This window comes from Homo sapiens, chromosome 9 (genome assembly GCF_000001405.40).
Source record: "Homo sapiens chromosome 9, GRCh38.p14 Primary Assembly".
NCBI classification, from domain to species: domain Eukaryota; kingdom Metazoa; phylum Chordata; class Mammalia; order Primates; family Hominidae; genus Homo; species Homo sapiens.
In genome coordinates, this window is record NC_000009.12 from 110,404,651 (window position 1) to 110,424,666 (window position 20,016).

The following is a 20,016-nucleotide window of genomic DNA, read 5'->3' on the forward strand; positions in this document are numbered from 1 at the left end:
TTTTGTGCAACATATTGATTGTTGCACAATCAATATGTCAGGCGGATGGCATTGCCATGCAAAAACACCAACATAACAATAACAACCAGTTGAGCTGGGTGCGGTGGCTCATGCCTGTAATCCCTGCACTTTGGAAGGCTGAGGCAGGAGGACCACTTGAGTCCAGGAGCTTGAGACTAGGCTGGGAAACATAGTGAGACTTCATCTCTATAAAAAATAAACAAAATTAGCTGGGCACGGTGGCACATGCCTGTAGTCTCAGCTACTTGGGAGGCAGAGGTGGGAGGACTGCTTGAACTAAGGAGGTTGAGGCTGCAGTGAGCCAAGAACATGCCACTGCACTCCAGCCTGGGTGACAGAGCAAGACGTTGTCTCAAAAAACCAAAAAACAAAAAACCGGTAATAACCAGATCAGTTCTCAGTTATCCACATGAAAAGTTAATCAAGACTAAAATTACTTTAAGTGTTTTTGATGTTATTTACCTTATTGTGGATATTATTATTATTGAATTCATTTTTATTCTATAAACAGCTAACAGTTCAGGAAATTCTAGACAGTCCAAAATGGACTCAGATACTAGTAGGAATACAGCATAATTAATATGTATTATGAATACCTACATGGACTCAGATACTAGTAGGAATACAGCATAATTCATATGTATTATGAATACCTACATGGACTCAGATACTAGTAGGAATACAGCATAATTCATATGTATTATGAATACCTACATGGACTCAGATACTAGTAGGAATACAGCATAATTCATTTGTATTATGAATACCTACGTGGACTCAGATACTAGTAGGAATACAGCATAATTCATATGTATTATGAATACCTACGTGGACTCAGATACTAGTAGGAATACAGCATAATTAATATGTATTATGAATACCTACGTGGACTCAGATACTAGTAGGAATACAGCATAATTCATATGTATTATGAATACCTACATGGACTCAGATACTAGTAGGAATACAGCATAATTCATATGTATTATGAATACCTACTTTGTGCCAAGTGCTGCTCTAGGTCCTTTACATAAGATATTTCTTTTAATCCTGATTATTTGGCATGATCATGGCCTGAATTCTTCAGTTTTTTGCCTTATGTCCCCAATATTTGCATGTGTCAATATAATCACAAAGTTATAATCATAAAGAAATTTACTATCCTGATGTTTAAAAAACAGCTTCACGATTCCGGAGCTTTTCAAGCTAGCTAGAGGATCTTGCTGTTTGTTTCACGAAGCTCAACAGAATATGATAGTCATGATAATTATATTAGAAACATGTCTGAAAAAAGTATCGATTTATTTTTATACTCAGTGGATTTCTACATAATTGTAGGTAGAATAAAGCCAAGTGTTAAAAGCACCAGTGTTTGGAGAGCAGTTCAGAGATGATGTTTTCTTCCCAATCAGCAAAATTTTTGATCGATCACATTTCATTTCATAATCCTGCCCGCACCCCTTGGAGACCCTAGAGCCATGATCTTACCTGAGTTTCACTTCACTTTCATAGGTGTGTGCCTCTCCAGTTGCCACTGCATTGGCGACAGACGGTGGGGACCCACAGGACAAGGGCTCACAGACTGGATAAGGCTGGCTCCATACCCCTTTCTCTGTACAAATCAGATCTGAACTGCCTTGTATGACATATCCAGACCTGCAGCTGTAAGTTATCACATTTTCCTTCCAAGAGCTGGTCTCACTGATGAACGCATTTGGTATCATTGGAAGAGAACCACAAGAAGTGTGTTCACAGTGGGGGAACCCAGAGCTCCACTGGCCATCGGCTTCACAGGTGATTTCAGAAAGTCCTAGGAGCTTGAAGCCTTTGAAGCACTGAATCCGGGCTGCCTTTCCACAGTCAAAATCTGTCCCATTGACAGTTCCATATTCAATTACTGGTGTGGAACATCTGCAAGGCAGGCAGGAAGGTGAGCTGCCACTCCAGGAGCCATTGGAGAGGCACCTTCTTGATGAATTTCCATGGAGCTTATAACCAGGAAAGCACTGATACTGTATATGGCCCCCATGAATAAAGGAAAAACCATTAGGGAAACCATGGGCAAGATCTTCAGGAGGTCCACAGTTGACTGGTTTACAGAGAGGAATCTCTGCATCCCAGTTGCCATCTGACTGACAGGTGAGTTTTGGAGCACCGTGCAAGATGTAGCCCTCGTGACAGTGGAATGTTACTTCCTTCATGAAGCCATAGTCCAGGCCTTCCGTCACCCCATTGGCCAGTTGTGGCGGGGTGGCACATCTGACAGGCACACAGTCGGGAGTGGCTCCACTCCAACTTCCATTGGCAAGACAAACCCGACTCCTGGCTCCCTCAAGCAAGAACCCTTCATTGCAAGTGTATTCAATCTCTTTTTGGAATGTGTACTCGTCTCCTCTCACCTGGCCATTGGCTGAGACTGGGGGTGAACTGCAGTCCACAGGAATGCAAATGGGCTCATCCTCATCCCAGTTTTTGTCATCCTGGCATGTTCTCCTCTCAGTGCCATTCAGCACATATCCGGGGTCACACTCATAGTACAACGTGCTCAGGTATGTGTAGTTGCTTCCTTTGATGGATCCATTCATGACTGGATTTGGCTTTTTGCATGAAATGGCTTCACAGCGTGGGGAGGCACCACTCCACTTTCTATTCTCTAGACAAAGCCTTAAGTCAGAGCCTGCTAGAATGTGTCCAGGTTTACAGCTATACTGCACAGCACTTCCCATGCTAGTCTCTGTAAAACGCAAAAAGCCATTTTCAGGAGCAGTAGGCAAGTCACATTCAATTGAAATGCAGGATGGTGCACTGCCATTCCAAGTTCCATCTTCCTGGCAGATCAGCACAGGGTTCCCCAGAAGTTCATATCCTGGATTACAGGTGTATGAAACCATGGTACCATACAGAAAGTTTGATGAATGTGTAGCAGGAGACTCCTTTGTATTTTCCCAGGTTTTAGCCACTGCTCCCAAATGATAAGGAGGGTGAGGAGTCACATATGGAACTTCCATCATGTCGTCTTCTTGCTCAAAATATCCCTGGTCATCTTTGAGTTTAGTACAGTCTCCAAAATCTATATGAGGAGGGAGGCCACAGTCTATTGGCATACATGTTGGGATGGAACTTGACCATCCTGACTCTTCACAGGTCTGCATGGCATGACCAGCCACCTGAAACCCAGGGAAGCAACTGTAGATGATTATGGCACCATAGCTGTAATCTGCACCTTCTACAAAACCATTTTCAATGGGTTGTGGGGAATCACAGTGGATGGCATTGCAAGATGGGGCATCTACATCCCAATCACCTGTCTCTAAACAGGTCAAGGCACTGGGACCTTCGAGCCGAAAGCCTCGGTTGCAAGAGTAGGTAACGGTCTGTCCATAGTGTAGGTCCGTGTAAGAGAATTTGCCATTCAAAATCTCCTTGGGTTTCAGGCACTCAATGGCTTTACATGTTGGTTTTCCTCCAAGCCAGTGACCATTTTCTCCACAAAGGGTGGTAGTATTTCCCACCAATTCAAAGCCTGGCTTGCAGGTATAGAGAGCTGTGCTGAGATAGGCAAGGCCTTGCACATCAATGATTCCATTGGGGATTTCCTCAGGTTGGGGACATTCTACTGGAACACATTCTGGCAGTGGAGAGCTCCAGGTGCCATCAGGTTGGCAGAGGGTGGTAGAATTTCCTCTTAGGAAAAACCCACCTACACAAGAATACTTGACAGTACTTCCAAAATGAAGAGCAGAAGAAGGAATGGGGACACCAAAGGAAATTAGGGGAGGTGGGGTACAAAGAACAATCTTACAAACAGGGAAAGAGTCATTCCATTGCTGGGATGGCAAGCATTTCAGGACAGAGGGGCCTTGCAGGACATGCCCTTCTTTACAGGAAAATGTCACAACTCCTACCTCGGTGGTCAACTCCTTTAATACTAGCTGGTTTTCCAAGAGGGGCGGCTCTGGGCACTTGGCAGGCATGCACTTTGGATTTGACTTCTTATTCCATTTGCCAGATTTCTGACATGTCCAAGAACTGTCACCAACAAGCTCATAACCCTCATTACAGAAAAACTGAACCTTGGACCCTACTTCAAAGTTTTCTCCTTTCATGAAGCCATTCTGGATCGGGGGAGGTTTTCCACAGTCGAGAGGAACACACATCAGAGGGGATTCACTGTGCCAGTGGCGATTGGCTTGGCAGACAAATACAGGACTTCCGACTGACTTATAGCCCGGGTTACACTGATACCTCACTTCACTCTCAAAGATCCTGCCAGTTGTATGCTGTGCAACAGGAAGAAAGCAAGTGAGTGCGATTTGTATAACAGATGATAGCATTAACTAAATCCTTGGATAGTGAAAAAAACTAAAAGGTCTATGTTAAAATGAATCAATTAGGAAGTAAGCAAATAATGATTTATGGTTTTTCCAATAGATCCATTCTATTTTTTTAAATAAGTGAAAATGATAGTAGAAAGTCAACTTAGGCTCGGCATGACGATTCATGCCTACAATCCCAGCACTTTGGGAGGCCGAGGCAGGAGGAACACTTGAGGTTAGGAGTTCGAGACCAGCCTGGCCAACATGGTGAAACCTGTACAAAAATTAGCTAGGCATGGTGGTATGTGCCTGTAATCTCAGCCATTTGGGAAGCTGAGGCAGGAGAATCACTTGAACCCAGGAGGCAGAGGTTGCAGTGAGCTGAGATTGTGCCACTGCACTCCAGCCTGGGAGACAGAGCAAGACTCTGTCTAAAGGGAAGAAAGAAAAGAAAGAAAAAAAGAAAATCAAATTAAGTAATCCCCACTGCAGAAATCCTTACTACAGTTTTGAGCCCATAACAAGTAAAAGATCAGTAATCTATATATTGATTGGTGAACTGATGAGGCAACGCTAAAAATGATAAATTACTCAGTTCAAAAAAACTTTCTGCCCAAAGAAATGCTAGTAAAGAAGCACATAAACAATTAACATGTATTTGTTAATGTTGTTAGATCATAAATAGTCAAATAAAATGTTTTTATGGGTATGTCTTAAGAATACTATCAAAATTTTGTTTATATTAACATATTTCTTAAAAATTACTGCTGTAACAATAGAAAATAATATCCTATCTTTTAAAACAAAAAATTAATATTCGTGATCTCAAAATTCAAACACATGTAATATAACAGGTCATAAACAAATAAACAAAATTACTCATTTTGTTTATGCATTGCTTGTGTGTCTCCCATGCATGTAAGCACCATGCCATTACACATCTAATCTGTGTTGTTAAATGCTAGGTCGCTGATTCTCAGAACTGTACCTGGTGCCAAGCAGGAGCTCTAGAAATATTTATTAAATTTATAAATGAACACCTCTCTACTTATACTCTATACCCTCTTCCAATTAATAAATGAACACCTCTCTACTTATACTCTGTACCCTCTTCCAATGAAAAGCTACTAAATCTAAGCAAAAGCCTTAAATAAAAGGCTTTTACTGTTTTGTTATTTTGAATGTAAAGGAGAAAAGGTTGTACTGTGTATATATGTGGGTTTTAAAAAAGTGTTTAATTAGAATATGGTCAATTTCAAATGGCCCTTGATTTGGGGGAATAGATTCTCATTCCTATTTTCTTGGTAGGCTTATTGAGAAGACACACATTAGCGTGAAAGCAGGACATATTTGGGTTGGACTGAACTCTTTTGTCCATCACAGTGAAATTACCTTTAGGTTTACCAAAACAGAATTGTAAAAACTACATTATTTGGTTTACCCTATCTTTTGTCTAAGCATTTAAAATTATAATATATTTCTCTAGGTTCCATTTAGACCTTGCCTTCTATAAAATAAAGCATATATCCATCCTGAAAAACCTCTGTAAAACAAAATATTATATTAAAATTGGTTTATTCTAACTTCCTATTTAGGGCTAAGCTGTTGCCACAAAGCACTTGAAATGCCTATACACTAGTAAAATGCAGAAAGTTATATACTAAAGATTCATAATCATCTTCATTAATTTTTTTTCCAGTCTTCACTACCTGTAGATTTTAGCCATTTCTGTTTTTCAATAATTAATTTGTTCATTGCCCCGCTTCTGAATAGTGGGTTCATCACAGTGGGCTGGCCCTGTAAGTGATGAAAGCCACAGAGCATTTGCTAATTAGTCTCTTACCTCCAGAAAGTGATTCACAACCTTAGGCAGATGAATTAATTCATCAAGAGATGAATTAATTATGAAAATGTTAAAAAGATTATCATGATTCTTTGTTAGTGATAATAGTAAATTCCAGTTTCCATGCCTTAGTGAACTTGGCAGTGTTTGGACTCAATTATTTGTTTTGTTTATTTATTTATTATGGGCCCTGTGACAAAAGCCACAGACCATTTGCTAATTGGTCTCTTACCTCCAGAAAGCCATTCTCAACCTTAGGTGGTTCACCACAAGATACCGGGTGGCACGTCGGTATAGGACTACTCCACTGCCCTGTGGCTTCGCAGGTGCTCTTCTTTTCCCCTTTGATGTAGAACCCCTTGTTGCAGCTGTAAGCCACCATGGCTCCAAAACTGTAGTTTGATCCACTTGCATAGCCATTCATGATGCTTGGTGGCTCTCCACACCGCACAGGGATGCACTGGATGGACATGGGGGAAGGGTTCCACTGCCCACCTCTCATACATTCAATCTTTGCTGAGGTGTTCAGTACAAAGCCTTCCATGCATTTAAAGCTCACAACTGAGCCAGCTGCAAATTTTGCTTTGCTCACAGATTCCAAGATGCTATAGGAAACCGATGGAGGTTTTTCACAGAAATGAGCTATACAACGGGGCATGTCTTGACCTTCTGGGGGTACCCACTTGCCCTGGGCATTGCAGAGAAGCTGGGAATTGTCTGCTAGGCTGTAACCATCAGAGCAGTAGTAGAATGCAATGTCTCCAAAGAGCCGATGGGCAGTCTCTGGAGAGGCGTGGTCCACAATGGGTGGCTCATCACAGGAGACAGCCAGGCACTGCTGGTCACTTCTACTCCACTTGCCGTCGGCCAGGCATTCAATGGTGTCAAGACCAGCAAGAGTATAGCTGTGAGGTTGGGAAGAAAGAAAGAATAACTAAGCATAATATTTGAGAAAAAGTGTTTGTGTCTTCTTCTATTTTTTAAATCTTTCCCACAATGACTTTAAATTTATCTTTAAAATAATATTTCCTCTTTGAATACTGAGCTTATTGATCAAATGACTTTCACTTGAGATATGTCAATACATTGTGATATTGTTTGTTCAGAAACATGTATTTAAATCTTCCCAACGACTTTATCTTTAAAATAATATTGACTCTTTGAATATTGAGCTTATTGATCAAATGACTTGCATTTGAGATATATCAATACATTGTGATATTAATATTTGCTCAGAAAGGGAAATGGATTTAAGATTTTTTTGCTACTTAAGGAACTCTAATAATTGCTATACATTTAAAAAATAAAATCAAGGAGTAAGCTGTATAGTGCTATTTGACTCAAATATGGAATTCTATCTGCCTTTAGATGGTTTTAACTTGATTTTGGCATTTGTCTTTATTGTTTGTTCTTAAGCTACAATGTACAATGCCATATTTAGCCTACATATAGCTCATTGTTATGTACTGACACCTAGAGAACTTTAAAACAGTGATTATAATTTCAGTCTCCAATGTCTCCTAAGCCTTTACCCCATGTGGCTAGAGTTGAAAGGTGTCAATTCAAGATGGATTAAAGACTTAAACGTTAAACCTAAAACCATAAAAACCCTAGAAGAAAACCTAGGCAATACCATTCAGGACATAGGCATGGGCAAGGACTTCATGTCTAAAACACCAAAAGCAATGGCAACAAAAGACAAAATTGACAAATGGGATCTAATTAAACTAAAGAGCTTCTGCACAGCAAAAGAAACTACCATCAGAGTGAACAGGCAACCTACAAAATGGGAGAAAATTTTCACAACCTACTCATCTGACAAAGGGCTAATATCCAGAATCTACAATGAACTTAAACAAATTTACAAGAAAAAACAAACCCCATCAAAAAGTGGGCAAAGGACATGAACAGACACTTCTCAAAAGAAGACATTTATGCAGCCAAAAAACACATGAAGAAATGCTCATCATCACTGGCCATCAGAGGAATGCAAATCAAAACCACAATGAGATACCATCTCACGGCAGTTAGAATGGCAATCATTAAAAAGTCAGGAAACAACAGGTGCTGGAGAGGATGTGGAGAAATAGGAACACTTTTACACTGTTGGTGGGACTGTAAACTAGTTCAACCATTGTGGAAGTCAGTGTGGCAATTCCTCAGGGATCTAGAACTAGAAATACCATTTGACCCAGCAATCCCATTACTGGGTATATACCCAAAGGACTATAAATCATGCTGCTATAAAGACACATGCACACGTATGTTTATTGCGGCACTATTCACAATAGCAAAGACTTGGAACCAACCCAAATGTCCAACAATGATAGACTGGATTAAGAAAATGTGGCACATATACACCATGGAATACTATGCAGCCATAAAAAATGATGAGTTCATGTCCTTTGTAGGGACATGGATGAAATTGGAAATCATCATTCTCAGTAAACTATCACAAGAACAAAAAACCAAACACCGCATATTCTCACTTATAGGTGGGAATTGAACAATGAGATCACATGGACACAGGAAGGGGAGCATCACACTCTGGGGACTGTTGTGGGGTGGGGGGAGGGGGGAGGGATAGCTTTGGGAGATATACCTAATGCTAGATGACGAGTTAGTGGGTGCAGTGCACCAGCATGGCACATGTATACATATGTAACTAACCTGCACAATGTGCACATGTACCCTAAAACTTAAAGTATAATAATAAAATAAAATAAAATAAAAGGTGTCTTCTGCATATGGCTCTGCTATTCAATCAGTATGAATAAATTTTTCTTAGTAATTCCCAGTCGTTATGCACAGATGTTGGCCCACATATAATGATGGATTGATGACTTACAAAAATCTAAAATTACTCTCAAGTGTTCTGTCAATGAGATAGAACAAAAGATTAGGATATACAGTATTAGAATAATTATATTTGAGTCATGCTTATTTTCATCACTGATCTCTTACTGAACAGAAAATTGATGGAGTTTTGAAAAAATCTCTAATACCTGATTAGCCTGTCATTTTGCTACTAATGAAGGGTAAGGGAAATAAAATAATTGAGTACCTAGTTTAATCCTGCTTAGATGTAATGATTTCTTCATTGTAAGGAAATAAAGTGAATGGTGGTTCAGACAGGCTTAGAAACTTGCCTGAAGTCACACAGCTGTAAGCAGCAGAATTGGGATCAGAATTTGGTTGATCAGTTTCCAACACCTACACCTTTTCCATAACACTGCTCTCTGTCTCTCTGTTTTGAAAGTGAAGAAGGTTAGATCATACTTTCTGGGTGTCCTGGGCAAACTGTATTGCAGTGTCACTAATACAAATTATTTGACCCACCCATTAGCAAAGATTAATTCATTAGTTATCAAATATTTCTCCTGAGATCTCTTTTAGTTTTATAAAGCATCAGCTATTATAGAGAGGTTGAAATTCCTTCATCCTAACTGACAATATTTATGAAATCTATAAGAGACAGAGAAATCAGGAAAAAAATAACAGTGTATCAGCAGAGCTATATGCAGCCACCTTACCTAAGTTCACACATCATGCTATGGATGGAAGTGGTCTCAAAATGAATACTCAGACATTCCCAATAGTTGAGTACAGCCCCCAGTTAGGGCCTGCTGCATTTCGTTGCTTTAGATAGGCTCAGTTCTTTGTATGAAGATCTGAACTTAGCTTGGAATAATAGCCTATCAATATCACAGTGATGCTTTAGAAGAACACATCTTAGGATAAACTGGCTGGAACAAATTTGCATTTTTCTGGAATCGTAACAAAAAATCCTTTGAAAATGGGCAGAATAATTTTCAGATGCAATTTGCAATGATTTGATTGACACACTGGGTAGAAGCTTACTAATGAGCATGTGCCTGGAGAGCTTTATGACAGAGCTCCCAAATGCATTATTAGCTCTTCTGTCTTAGCAAAAAAGCCTTAAAAGAGCAGCCTACTAGATATTTAAACGGCTGCAATTTAATAAGAACAACAGGAAGCATAAATCAGCATCAATAATTATGTTTTCAATCATAAAGATTTTTGTCTGAACATATCTAATAATTGCATTTAGAAGTTTATATCTGAGAAGAATCAAAAGGAAAAATTTAATTAGGATTTTAGGGTGGCAATAACCCTTTCTTCCCTCTGCGTTTCTCACCAAGGAGTATAAACATGAGCATGAAAAGGAAAATGAGAAACAAATGACCACTTACGTATTTGAGCAAACAACTGAAAACCCCCTACGTTTGAGGGTTTTGATAAAAGGTTTAAAAAAGATAAATGTTTTGATAAAAGTTGAATTTGGAAGGCCAAGTTTAGGGTAGGACACAGAAATGAGACTTCTTGCTTCTTTCTTTCCCTGGCATTCATTATATCACTTAAGTCTCTTAAAGTCTCTGCATTTTTGTCCTAAGCTTAAGAGTGGATCTTGCCCTTATAATTCAAGGAAAGGCCAATGAAAAGCACAACACCAGTATAGGAGGAAAACTCGGTGAGACAGATGCAAAAATGTGTGTATGTACACATGGTAAGCATGTGGCTTATATAAGGCCCAGGAGGCTTACATTGTGTGCAGGGCAATGGTCTGTGCTAGGCAGCCCCAAGGGAGGAGACAGTTAAGAGGGACTGGAGAAGGAAATAAACTTTAATACACTAATAAGGCCAGCAGCATCTTGAGAAGTGGAAGAAGACGGTAAGACAGGTCATATTTTACAAAGGCCATGACTTGAACAGAGCGATGCCATCCTTGACTGGAACAAGACACAGGGCATGTAGATCTATGCCAATCAACTCCTTGGGGAAAAGAAATAGAAAATAAGTAAAGAGAGATAAGATGAGTGCTGACTTCTTGTTCTGCTCTACAACAGTCTGAAAACCCTCCCTCTATAATACTTGACGAATTACAACACAAATTATTTTAAATGCATAGCTGAGCTGACAAGAAAGGAAATTTCCATGTGCCAGAAATGAAGAGGAAATTACAAACAGAAAAGTAAACTTGTGAATGGATGCTATGGTTGACCTTGGATTAGACAAAGAAGGGAAGTCGAGAGGATAGAAAATATAGCTTCGGAGTTAAAATAGCAATAGTGGAGTCTGTACCTCATGTGGATTGGAGTTTAGAATTTACACCATTCACTTTGTATGGAAAATCTTCAAATTGATAAATTAATGTAAAATTAGGTTCTTGGCTGGTGATACTCCCGAAACACCTGGTAGAAAAAAAATCTACATACTCAGAAAATAAGGGGTTACCATAGATAAAACAAGCCCTGTTTACTATAAGGGCACAATCTGAATTTATAACACACACAAACATATTTTCCATCACAAATGGGTTGGCAGACAGAAAAAACTGCAAGGGTAGAGCACCAATAAGTGAGATAATAGAAAAAAAGCTCTAAAATATAAAAAATAGTATGAAATAAGTATGTTGAAATAAGGACAAAAGAAAGACTCAAAATTCTATTAAAAGTGACTATGAAAAAATGTTTGAAAAATAAATAGAAATTCTGGAAATAAAAATGTGGAACATAAAAATTAAAAACAATGGACATATTCAAAAACAGGCTACAGATATTAGAAGAAAAATCAGTGAACTGGAAGAAATATATGAGGAAATTATCCAAATGTAATAGGTTTTGAAAGAGATGAAAAGTGTGACAGATTAATTAACATGAAAAATAGAATGAAAAGGCCCAACATATATCTAGTAAGACATCCATAAAGATATAAAAGAGAAAGTGAGAAACAGAAAATATTTGCAGTGAAAATGACTGAGAATATTCTAAAATAGGTGAAAGATATAAATTCTCAGATGTAAGAAGTACAATGAGTCCCAAACAAGATGAATGACAATAAATACACCATAGTCATCTCATAGCAAAACACTAAAACAACAAAGACAAGTTTTTAAAAAGTAACCAAAGAGAAAACATATTACTTATACAGCAACAAGAATTTGACCAGAGTTTCTCAATTTCAGCACTACTGACATTGTGGACCAGATACTTCTTAGTTGTGGAGGACTGTTCTGTACATTGTAGGATATTTAGCATTTTTCCTAGATTCTAACTATTAGATGCTAGTAGCATCTTCCCCCCAGTTGTGACAACCAAAAATGTCTCCAGACATTGCCAGATGTCCTTGGAGGGCAATATTGTCCTTGATTGAGGATCACTAAATTAGACTCATAAAGGAATTCTGAATAGCAACATTAGAATCATAAGGCAACGGAATAATAGCTTCAAAATACTTATGGAAAAATTGGAGGAGGAGGAGCCAAGATGGCCGAATAGGAACAGCTCCGGTCTACAGCTCCCAGCGTGAGCGACGCAGAAGACGGGTGATTTCTGCATTTCCATCTGAGGTACCGGGTTCATCTCACTAGGGAGTGCCAGACGGTGGGCGCAGGCCAGTGTGTGTGCGCACCGTGCGCGAGCCGAAGCAGGGCGAGGCATTGCCTCACCTGGGAAGCGCAAGGGGTCAGGGAGTTCCCTTTCCCAGTCAAAGAAAGGGGTGACGGACGCACCTGGAAAATCGGGTCACTCCCACCCGAATATTGCGCTTTTCAGACCGGCTTAAGAAACGGCGCACCACGAGACTATATCCCACACCTGGCTCAGAGGGTCCTACGCCCACGGAATCTCGCTGATTGCTAGCACAGCAGTCTGAGATCAAACTGCAAGGCGGCAACGAGGCTGGGGGAGGGGCGCCCGCCATTGCCCAGGCTTGCTTAGGTAAACAAAGCAGCCGGGAAGCTCGAACTGGGTGGAGCCCACCACAGCTCAAGGAGGCCTGCCTGCCTCTGTAGGCTCCACCTCTGGGGGCAGGGCACAGACAAACAAAAAGACAGCAGTAACCTCTGCAGACTTAAGTGTCCCTGTCTGACAGCTTTGAAGAGAGCAGTGGTTCTCCCAGCACGCAGCTGGAGATCTGAGAACGGGCAGACTGCCTCCTCAAGTGGGTCCCTGACCCCTGACCCCCGAGCAGCCTAACTGGGAGGCACCCCCCAGCAGGGGCACACTGACACCTAACACGGCAGGGTATTCCAACAGACCTGCAGCTGAGGGTCCTGTCTGTTAGAAGGAAAACTAACAACCAGAAAGGACATCTACACCGAAAACCCATCTGTACATCACCATCATCAAAGACCAAAAGTAGATAAAACCACAAAGATGGGGAAAAAACAGAACAGAAAAACTGGAAACTCTAAAACGCAGAGCGCCTCTCCTCCTCCAAAGGAACGCAGTTCCTCACCAGCAACAGAACAAAGCTGGATGGAGAATGATTTTGACGAGCTGAGAGAAGAAGGCTTCAGACGATCAAATTACTCTGAGCTACGGGAGGACATTCAAACCAAAGGCAAAGAAGTTGAAAACTTTGAAAAAAATTTAGAAGAATGTATAACTAGAATAACCAATACAGAGAAGTGCTTAAAGGAGCTGATGGAGCTGAAAACCAAGGCTCGAGAACTACGTGAAGAATGCAGAAGCCTCAGGAGCCGATGCGATCAACTGGAAGAAAGGGTATCAGCAATGGAAGATGAAATGAATGAAATGAAGCGAGAAGGGAAGTTTAGAGAAAAAAGAATAAAAAGAAATGAGCAAAGCCTCCAAGAAATATGGGACTATGTGAAAAGACCAAATCTACGTCTGATTGGTGTACCTGAAAGTGATGTGGAGAATGGAACCAAGTTGGAAAACACTCTGCAGGATATTATCCAGGAGAACTTCCCCAATCTAGCAAGGCAGGCCAACGTTCAGATTCAGGAAATACAGAGAATGCCACAAAGATACTCCTCGAGAAGAGCAACTCCAAGACACATAATTGTCAGATTCACCAAAGTTGAAATGAAGGAAAAAATGTTAAGGGCAGCCAGAGAGAAAGGTCGGGTTACCCTCAAAGGAAAGCCCATCAGACTAACAGCGGATCTCTCGGCAGAAACCCTACAAGCCAGAAGAGAGTGGGGGCCAATATTCAACATTCTTAAAGAAAAGAATTTTCAACCCAGAATTTCGTATCAGCCAAACTAAGCTTCATAAGTGAAGGAGAAATAAAATACTTTATAGACAAGCAAATGCTGAGAGATTTTGTCACCACCAGGCCTGCCCTAAAAGAGCTCCTGAAGGAAGCGCTAAACATGGAAAGGAACAACCGGTACCAGCCGCTGCAAAATCATGCCAAAATGTAAAGACCATCGAGACTAGGAAGAAACTGCATCAACTAATGAGCAAAATCACCAGCTAACATCATAATGACAGGATCAAATTCACACATAACAATATTAACTTTAAATATAAATGGACTAAATTCTGCAATTAAAAGACACAGACTGGCAAGTTGGATAAAGAGTCAAGACCCATCAGTGTGCTGTATTCAGGAAACCCATCTCACGTGCAGAGACACACATAGGCTCAAAATAAAAGGATGGAGGAAGATCTACCAAGCCAATGGAAAACAAAAAAAGGCAGAGGTTGCAATCCTAGTCTCTGATAAAACAGACTTTAAACCAACAAAGATCAAAAGAGACAAAGAAGGCCATTACATAATGATAAAGGGATCAATTCAACAAGAGGAGCTAACTATCCTAAATATTTATGCACCCAATACAGGAGCACCCAGATTCATAAAGCAAGTCCTCAGTGACCTACAAAGAGACTTAGACTCCCACACATTAATAATGGGAGACTTTAACACCCCACTGTCAACATTAGACAGATCAACGAGACAGAAAGTCAACAAGGATACCCAGGAATTGAACTCAGCTCTGCACCAAGCAGACCTAATAGACATCTACAGAACTCTCCACCCCAAATCAACAGAATATACATTTTTTTCAGCACCACACCACACCTATTCCAAAATTGACCACATAGTTGGAAGTAAAGCTCTCCTCAGCAAATGTAAAAGAACAGAAATTATAACAAACTATCTCTCAGACCACAGTGCAATCAAACTAGAACTCAGGATTAAAAATCTCACTCAAAGCCGCTCAACTACATGGAAACTGAACAACCTGCTCCTGAATGACTACTGGGTACAGAACGAAATGAAGGCAGAAATAAAGATGTTCTTTGAAACCAACGAGAACAAAGACACCACATACCAGAATCTCTGGGACGCATTCAAAGCAGTGTGTAGAGGGAAATTTATAGCACTAAATGCCTACAAGAGAAAGCAGGAAAGATCCAAAATTGACACCCTAACATCACAATTAAAAGAACTAGAAAAGCAAGAGCAAACACATTCAAAAGCTAGCAGAAGGCAAGAAATAACTAAGATCAGAGCAGAACTGAAGGAAATAGAGACACAAAAAACTCTTCAAAAAATCAATGAATCCAGGAGCTGGTTTTTTGAAAGGATCAACAAAATTGATAGACCGCTAGCAAGACTAATAAAGAAAAAAAGAGAGAAGAATCAAATAGACACAATAAAAAATGATAAAGGGGATATCACCACCGATCCCACAGAAATACAAACTACCATCAGAGAATACTACAAACACCTCTAGGCAAATAAACTAGAAAATCTAGAAGAAATGGATACATTCCTCGACACATACACTCTCCCAAGACTAAACCAGGAAGAAGTTGAATCTCTGAATAGACCAATAACAGGCTCTGAAATTGTGGCAATAATCAATAGTTTACCAACCAAAAAGAGTCCAGGACCAGATGGATTCACAGCCGAATTCTACCAGAGGTACAAGGAGGAACTGGTACCATTCCTTCTGAAACTATTCCAATCAATAGAAAAAGAGGGAATCCTCCCTAACTCATTTTATGAGGCCAGCATCATTCTGATACCAAAGCCGGGCAGAGACACAACCAAAAAAGAGAATTTTAGACCAATATCCTTGATGAACATTGATGCAAAAATCCTCAATAAAATACTGGCAAACCGAATCCAGCAGCACATCAAAAAGCTTATCCACCATGATCAAGTGGGCTTCATCCCTGGGATGCAAGGCTGGTTCAATATACGCAAATCAATAAATGTAATCCAGCATATAAACAGAGCCAAAGACAAAAACCACATGATTATCTCAATAGATGCAGAAAAAGCCTTTGACAAAATTCAACAACCCTTCATGCTAAAAACTCTCAATAAATTAGGTATTGATGGGACGTATTTCAAAATAATAAGAGCTATCTATGACAAACCCACAGCCAATATCATACTGAATGGGCAAAAACTGGAAGCATTCCCTTTGAAAACTGGCACAAGACAGGGATGCCCTCTCTCACCACTCCTATTCAACATAGTGTTGGAAGTTCTGGCCAGGGCAATCAGGCAGGAGAAGGAAATAAAGGGTATTCAATTAGGAAAAGAGGAAGTCAAATTGTCCCTGTTTGCAGACGACATGATTGTTTATCTAGAAAACCCCATCGTCTCAGCCCAAAATCTCCTTAAGCTGATAAGCAACTTCAGCAAAGTCTCAGGATACAAAATCAATGTACAAAAATCACAAGCATTCTTATACACCAACAACAGACAAACAGAGAGCCAAATCATGGGTGAACTCCCATTCACAATTGCTTCAAAGAGAATAAAATACCTAGGAATCCAACTTACAAGGGATGTGAAGGACCTCTTCAAGGAGAACTACAAACCACTGCTCAAGGAAATAAAAGAGGACACAAACAAATGGAAGAACATTCCATGCTCATGGGTAGGAAGAATCAATATCGTGAAAATGGCCATACTGCCCAAGGTAATTTACAGATTCAATGCCATCCCCATCAAGCTACCAATGACTTTCTTCACAGAATTGGAAAAAACTACTTTAAAGTTCATATGGAACCAAAAAAGAGCCCACATTGCCAAGTCAATCCTAAGCCAAAAGAACAAAGCTGGAGGCATCACACTACCTGACTTCAAACTATACTACAAGGCTACAGTAACCAAAACAGCATGGTACTGGTACCAAAACAGAGATATAGATCAATGGAACAGAACAGAGCCCTCAGAAATAATGCCGCATATCTACAACTATCTGATCTTTGACAAACCTGAGAAAAACAAGCAATGGGGAAAGGATTCCCTATTTAATAAATGGTGCTGGGAAAACTGGCTAGCCATATGTAGAAAGCTGAAACTGGATCCCTTCCCTACACCTTATACAAAAATCAATTCAAGATGGATTAAAGATTTAAACGTTAGACCTAAAACCATAAAAACCCTAGAAGAAAACCTAGGCATTACCATTCAGGACATAGGCGTGGGCAAGGACTTCATGTCCAAAACACCAAAAGCAATGGCAACAAAAGCCAAAATTGACAAATGGGATCTAATTAAACTAAAGAGCTTCTGCACAGCAAAAGAAACTACCATCAGAGTGAACAGGCAACCTACAACATGGGAGAAAATTTTCGCAACCTACTCATCTGACAAAGGGCTAATATCCAGAATCTACAATGAACTCAAACAAATTTACAAGAAAAAAACAAACAACCCCATCAAAAAGTGGGCGAAGGACATGAACAGACACTTCTCAAAAGAAGACATTTATGCAGCCAAAAAACACATGAAGAAATGCTCATCATCACTGGCCATCAGAGAAATGCAAATCAAAACCACTATGAGATATCATCTCACACCAGTTAGAATGGCAATCATTAAAAAGTCAGGAAACAACAGGTGCTGGAGAGGATGTGGAGAAACAGGAACACTTTTACACTGTTGGTGGGACTGTAAACTAGTTCAACCATTGTGGAAGTCAGTGTGGCGATTCCTCAGGGATCTAGAACTAGAAATACCATTTGACCCAGCCATCCCATTACTGGGTATATACCCAAAGGACTATAAATCATGCTGCTATAAAGACACATGCACACGTATGTTTATAGCGGCACTATTCACAATAGCAAAGACTTGGAACCAATCCAAATGTCCAACAATGATAGACTGGATTAAGAAAATGTGGCACATATACACCATGGAATACTATGCAGCCATAAAAAATGATGAGTTCATATCCTTTGTAGGGACATGGATGAAATTGGAAACCATCATTCTCAGTAAACTATCGCAAGAACAAAAAACCAAACACCGCATATTCTCACTCATAGGTGGGAATTGAACAATGAGATCACATGGACACAGGAAGGGGAATATCACACTCTGGGGACTGTGGTGGGGTCGGGGGAGCGGGGAGGGATAGCATTGGGAGATATACCTAATGCTAGATGACACATTAGTGGGTGCAGCGCACCAGCATGGCACATGTATACATATGTAACTAACCTGCACAATGTGCACGTGTACCCTAAAACTTAGAGTATAATAAAAAATAATAATAATAAAAAAAAAATAAAAAAATAAAAAAATAAAGTAAAAAAAAAAAAAAAGAAAAAAAAAAGAAAAATTGTCAATGTAGATTTGTATATTCAGCTAAACTACAATTCAAGAGCAAGGGCAAAATACTATTAGTTTCTGACCAAGACTGTGTAATTCATGACTCTTGCTGGAAAAGATGCAAAGAACATCTTCAGGAAGTAGAAACATGAAACTCAAATGGAAGGAGTGTGATGCAAAAAGAAATAGTGGTGAAAAAATTAATAGACATGTAAATAAATATACATAAGCAGTGACTGCAGTTAAAAAATGACTGATTTGGAAAGCTGTAAGATAAAAGGGAAGTAAAAAGGTACATAGTGATAAGACATTTAAGATGGGAGTGCTGACAGAAGTTAATGCTTTCTAAAGTCTTCAAGTTGTTCAGGAAGAAGGCAGAAACATTAAGTATGATCTTAGGATATGGAAAAATGTCTTAAGCCTGACAAAAAAAATCCCTAAAGGACTCTAAAGGAAACAACTGATAAATATGGGTATATTAAAATAAAAAATTCTATAACAAAAGGCACCATAGAGTAAAAACGAAGCCACAGATAAGCAGAATATCTTTGCAACTCATGTAATAAAAAAGGGATTGGTTTCCTGAAAATATAAGTCAATATGAAAAACAAAATGGGAAAGAGACACAAACAATTCATCCCTAGAATAAGAAATATGCACTTTCAATAACCCTTTGGAAGGTTGTATACCCAGTTAAACTACAATTTGAGAAGTGTTTATAGTCTTAAAGTAATTTCTGGGAAGAAACAATGGGAAAACCTTAAACAATGATGAAATTGGAAAGAAGAATCAACTGTGATAAACACTATTGTAGGCAAAGTTGTGGAGCTAGGGAAGCTATCTCACATATTATTGTTTAGAGTGTTAACTGGTATGGTCACTCCTGGGAGCATTTGGTACTATCTTGCAAAGTTAAAAATGTGCATCTTCCATGACTGGACAATTCCAACTCTTCGTGTCTAGGTCAGAGATGTTCTTTTACATGTGTGCCAGGAAACATGCAAGAATATTTACTTCAGCACTTGTATTCAAACGAAGTAAATAAATTAACCCTCTACCAGTAAGATGGTAATTTAGAGATAGCTCGTTCTGACAAGAAAATACTGTCTATCAGTGAAAATAAATTCAGTTGATTTACATGTATTGAGAGGGATAAATGTAAAAAAAATAAGGTTAAGTGAAAAATCAAAGCTTCAAAAGGATGCTTAGAATATGAAGCAACAGATACAAAAATTAAAATATATAAATTAATAGGATATTTGTTTATGGGGGAATATGTATTTAATAAAGACAAATATCCATGTTTGTTACTTTGAGGAGCATAGATGAGTGATGAGAATGGCTTCTAATTATATCTGTAATATTGTGTTTCTTTTATAAATAGAGATCTAAGGTAATGATGACAAGAATTTAACATGCACTTTTATTTCAGCAATGGATACATGGGTGATTTTAAATAGAGAGAATTTTATTTTT

At 39.3% G+C, this 20,016-nt stretch overlaps 1 protein-coding gene across 1 annotated transcript in view; it reads right to left on the reverse strand.

The window, feature by feature from the left end:
* Positions 1 to 20,016, reverse strand: part of SVEP1 (sushi, von Willebrand factor type A, EGF and pentraxin domain containing 1) — a 214,494-nt gene that overhangs the window by 39,403 nt on the left and 155,075 nt on the right. The window contains exons 37-38 of the mRNA NM_153366.4: positions 6,413 to 7,085; positions 1,510 to 4,301 (exon numbers count right to left, since the gene is read on the reverse strand). Of these exons, the coding sequence (NP_699197.3) occupies positions 1,510 to 4,301; positions 6,413 to 7,085 (3,465 nt within the window). The remainder of the gene's footprint in view (positions 1 to 1,509; positions 4,302 to 6,412; positions 7,086 to 20,016) is intronic.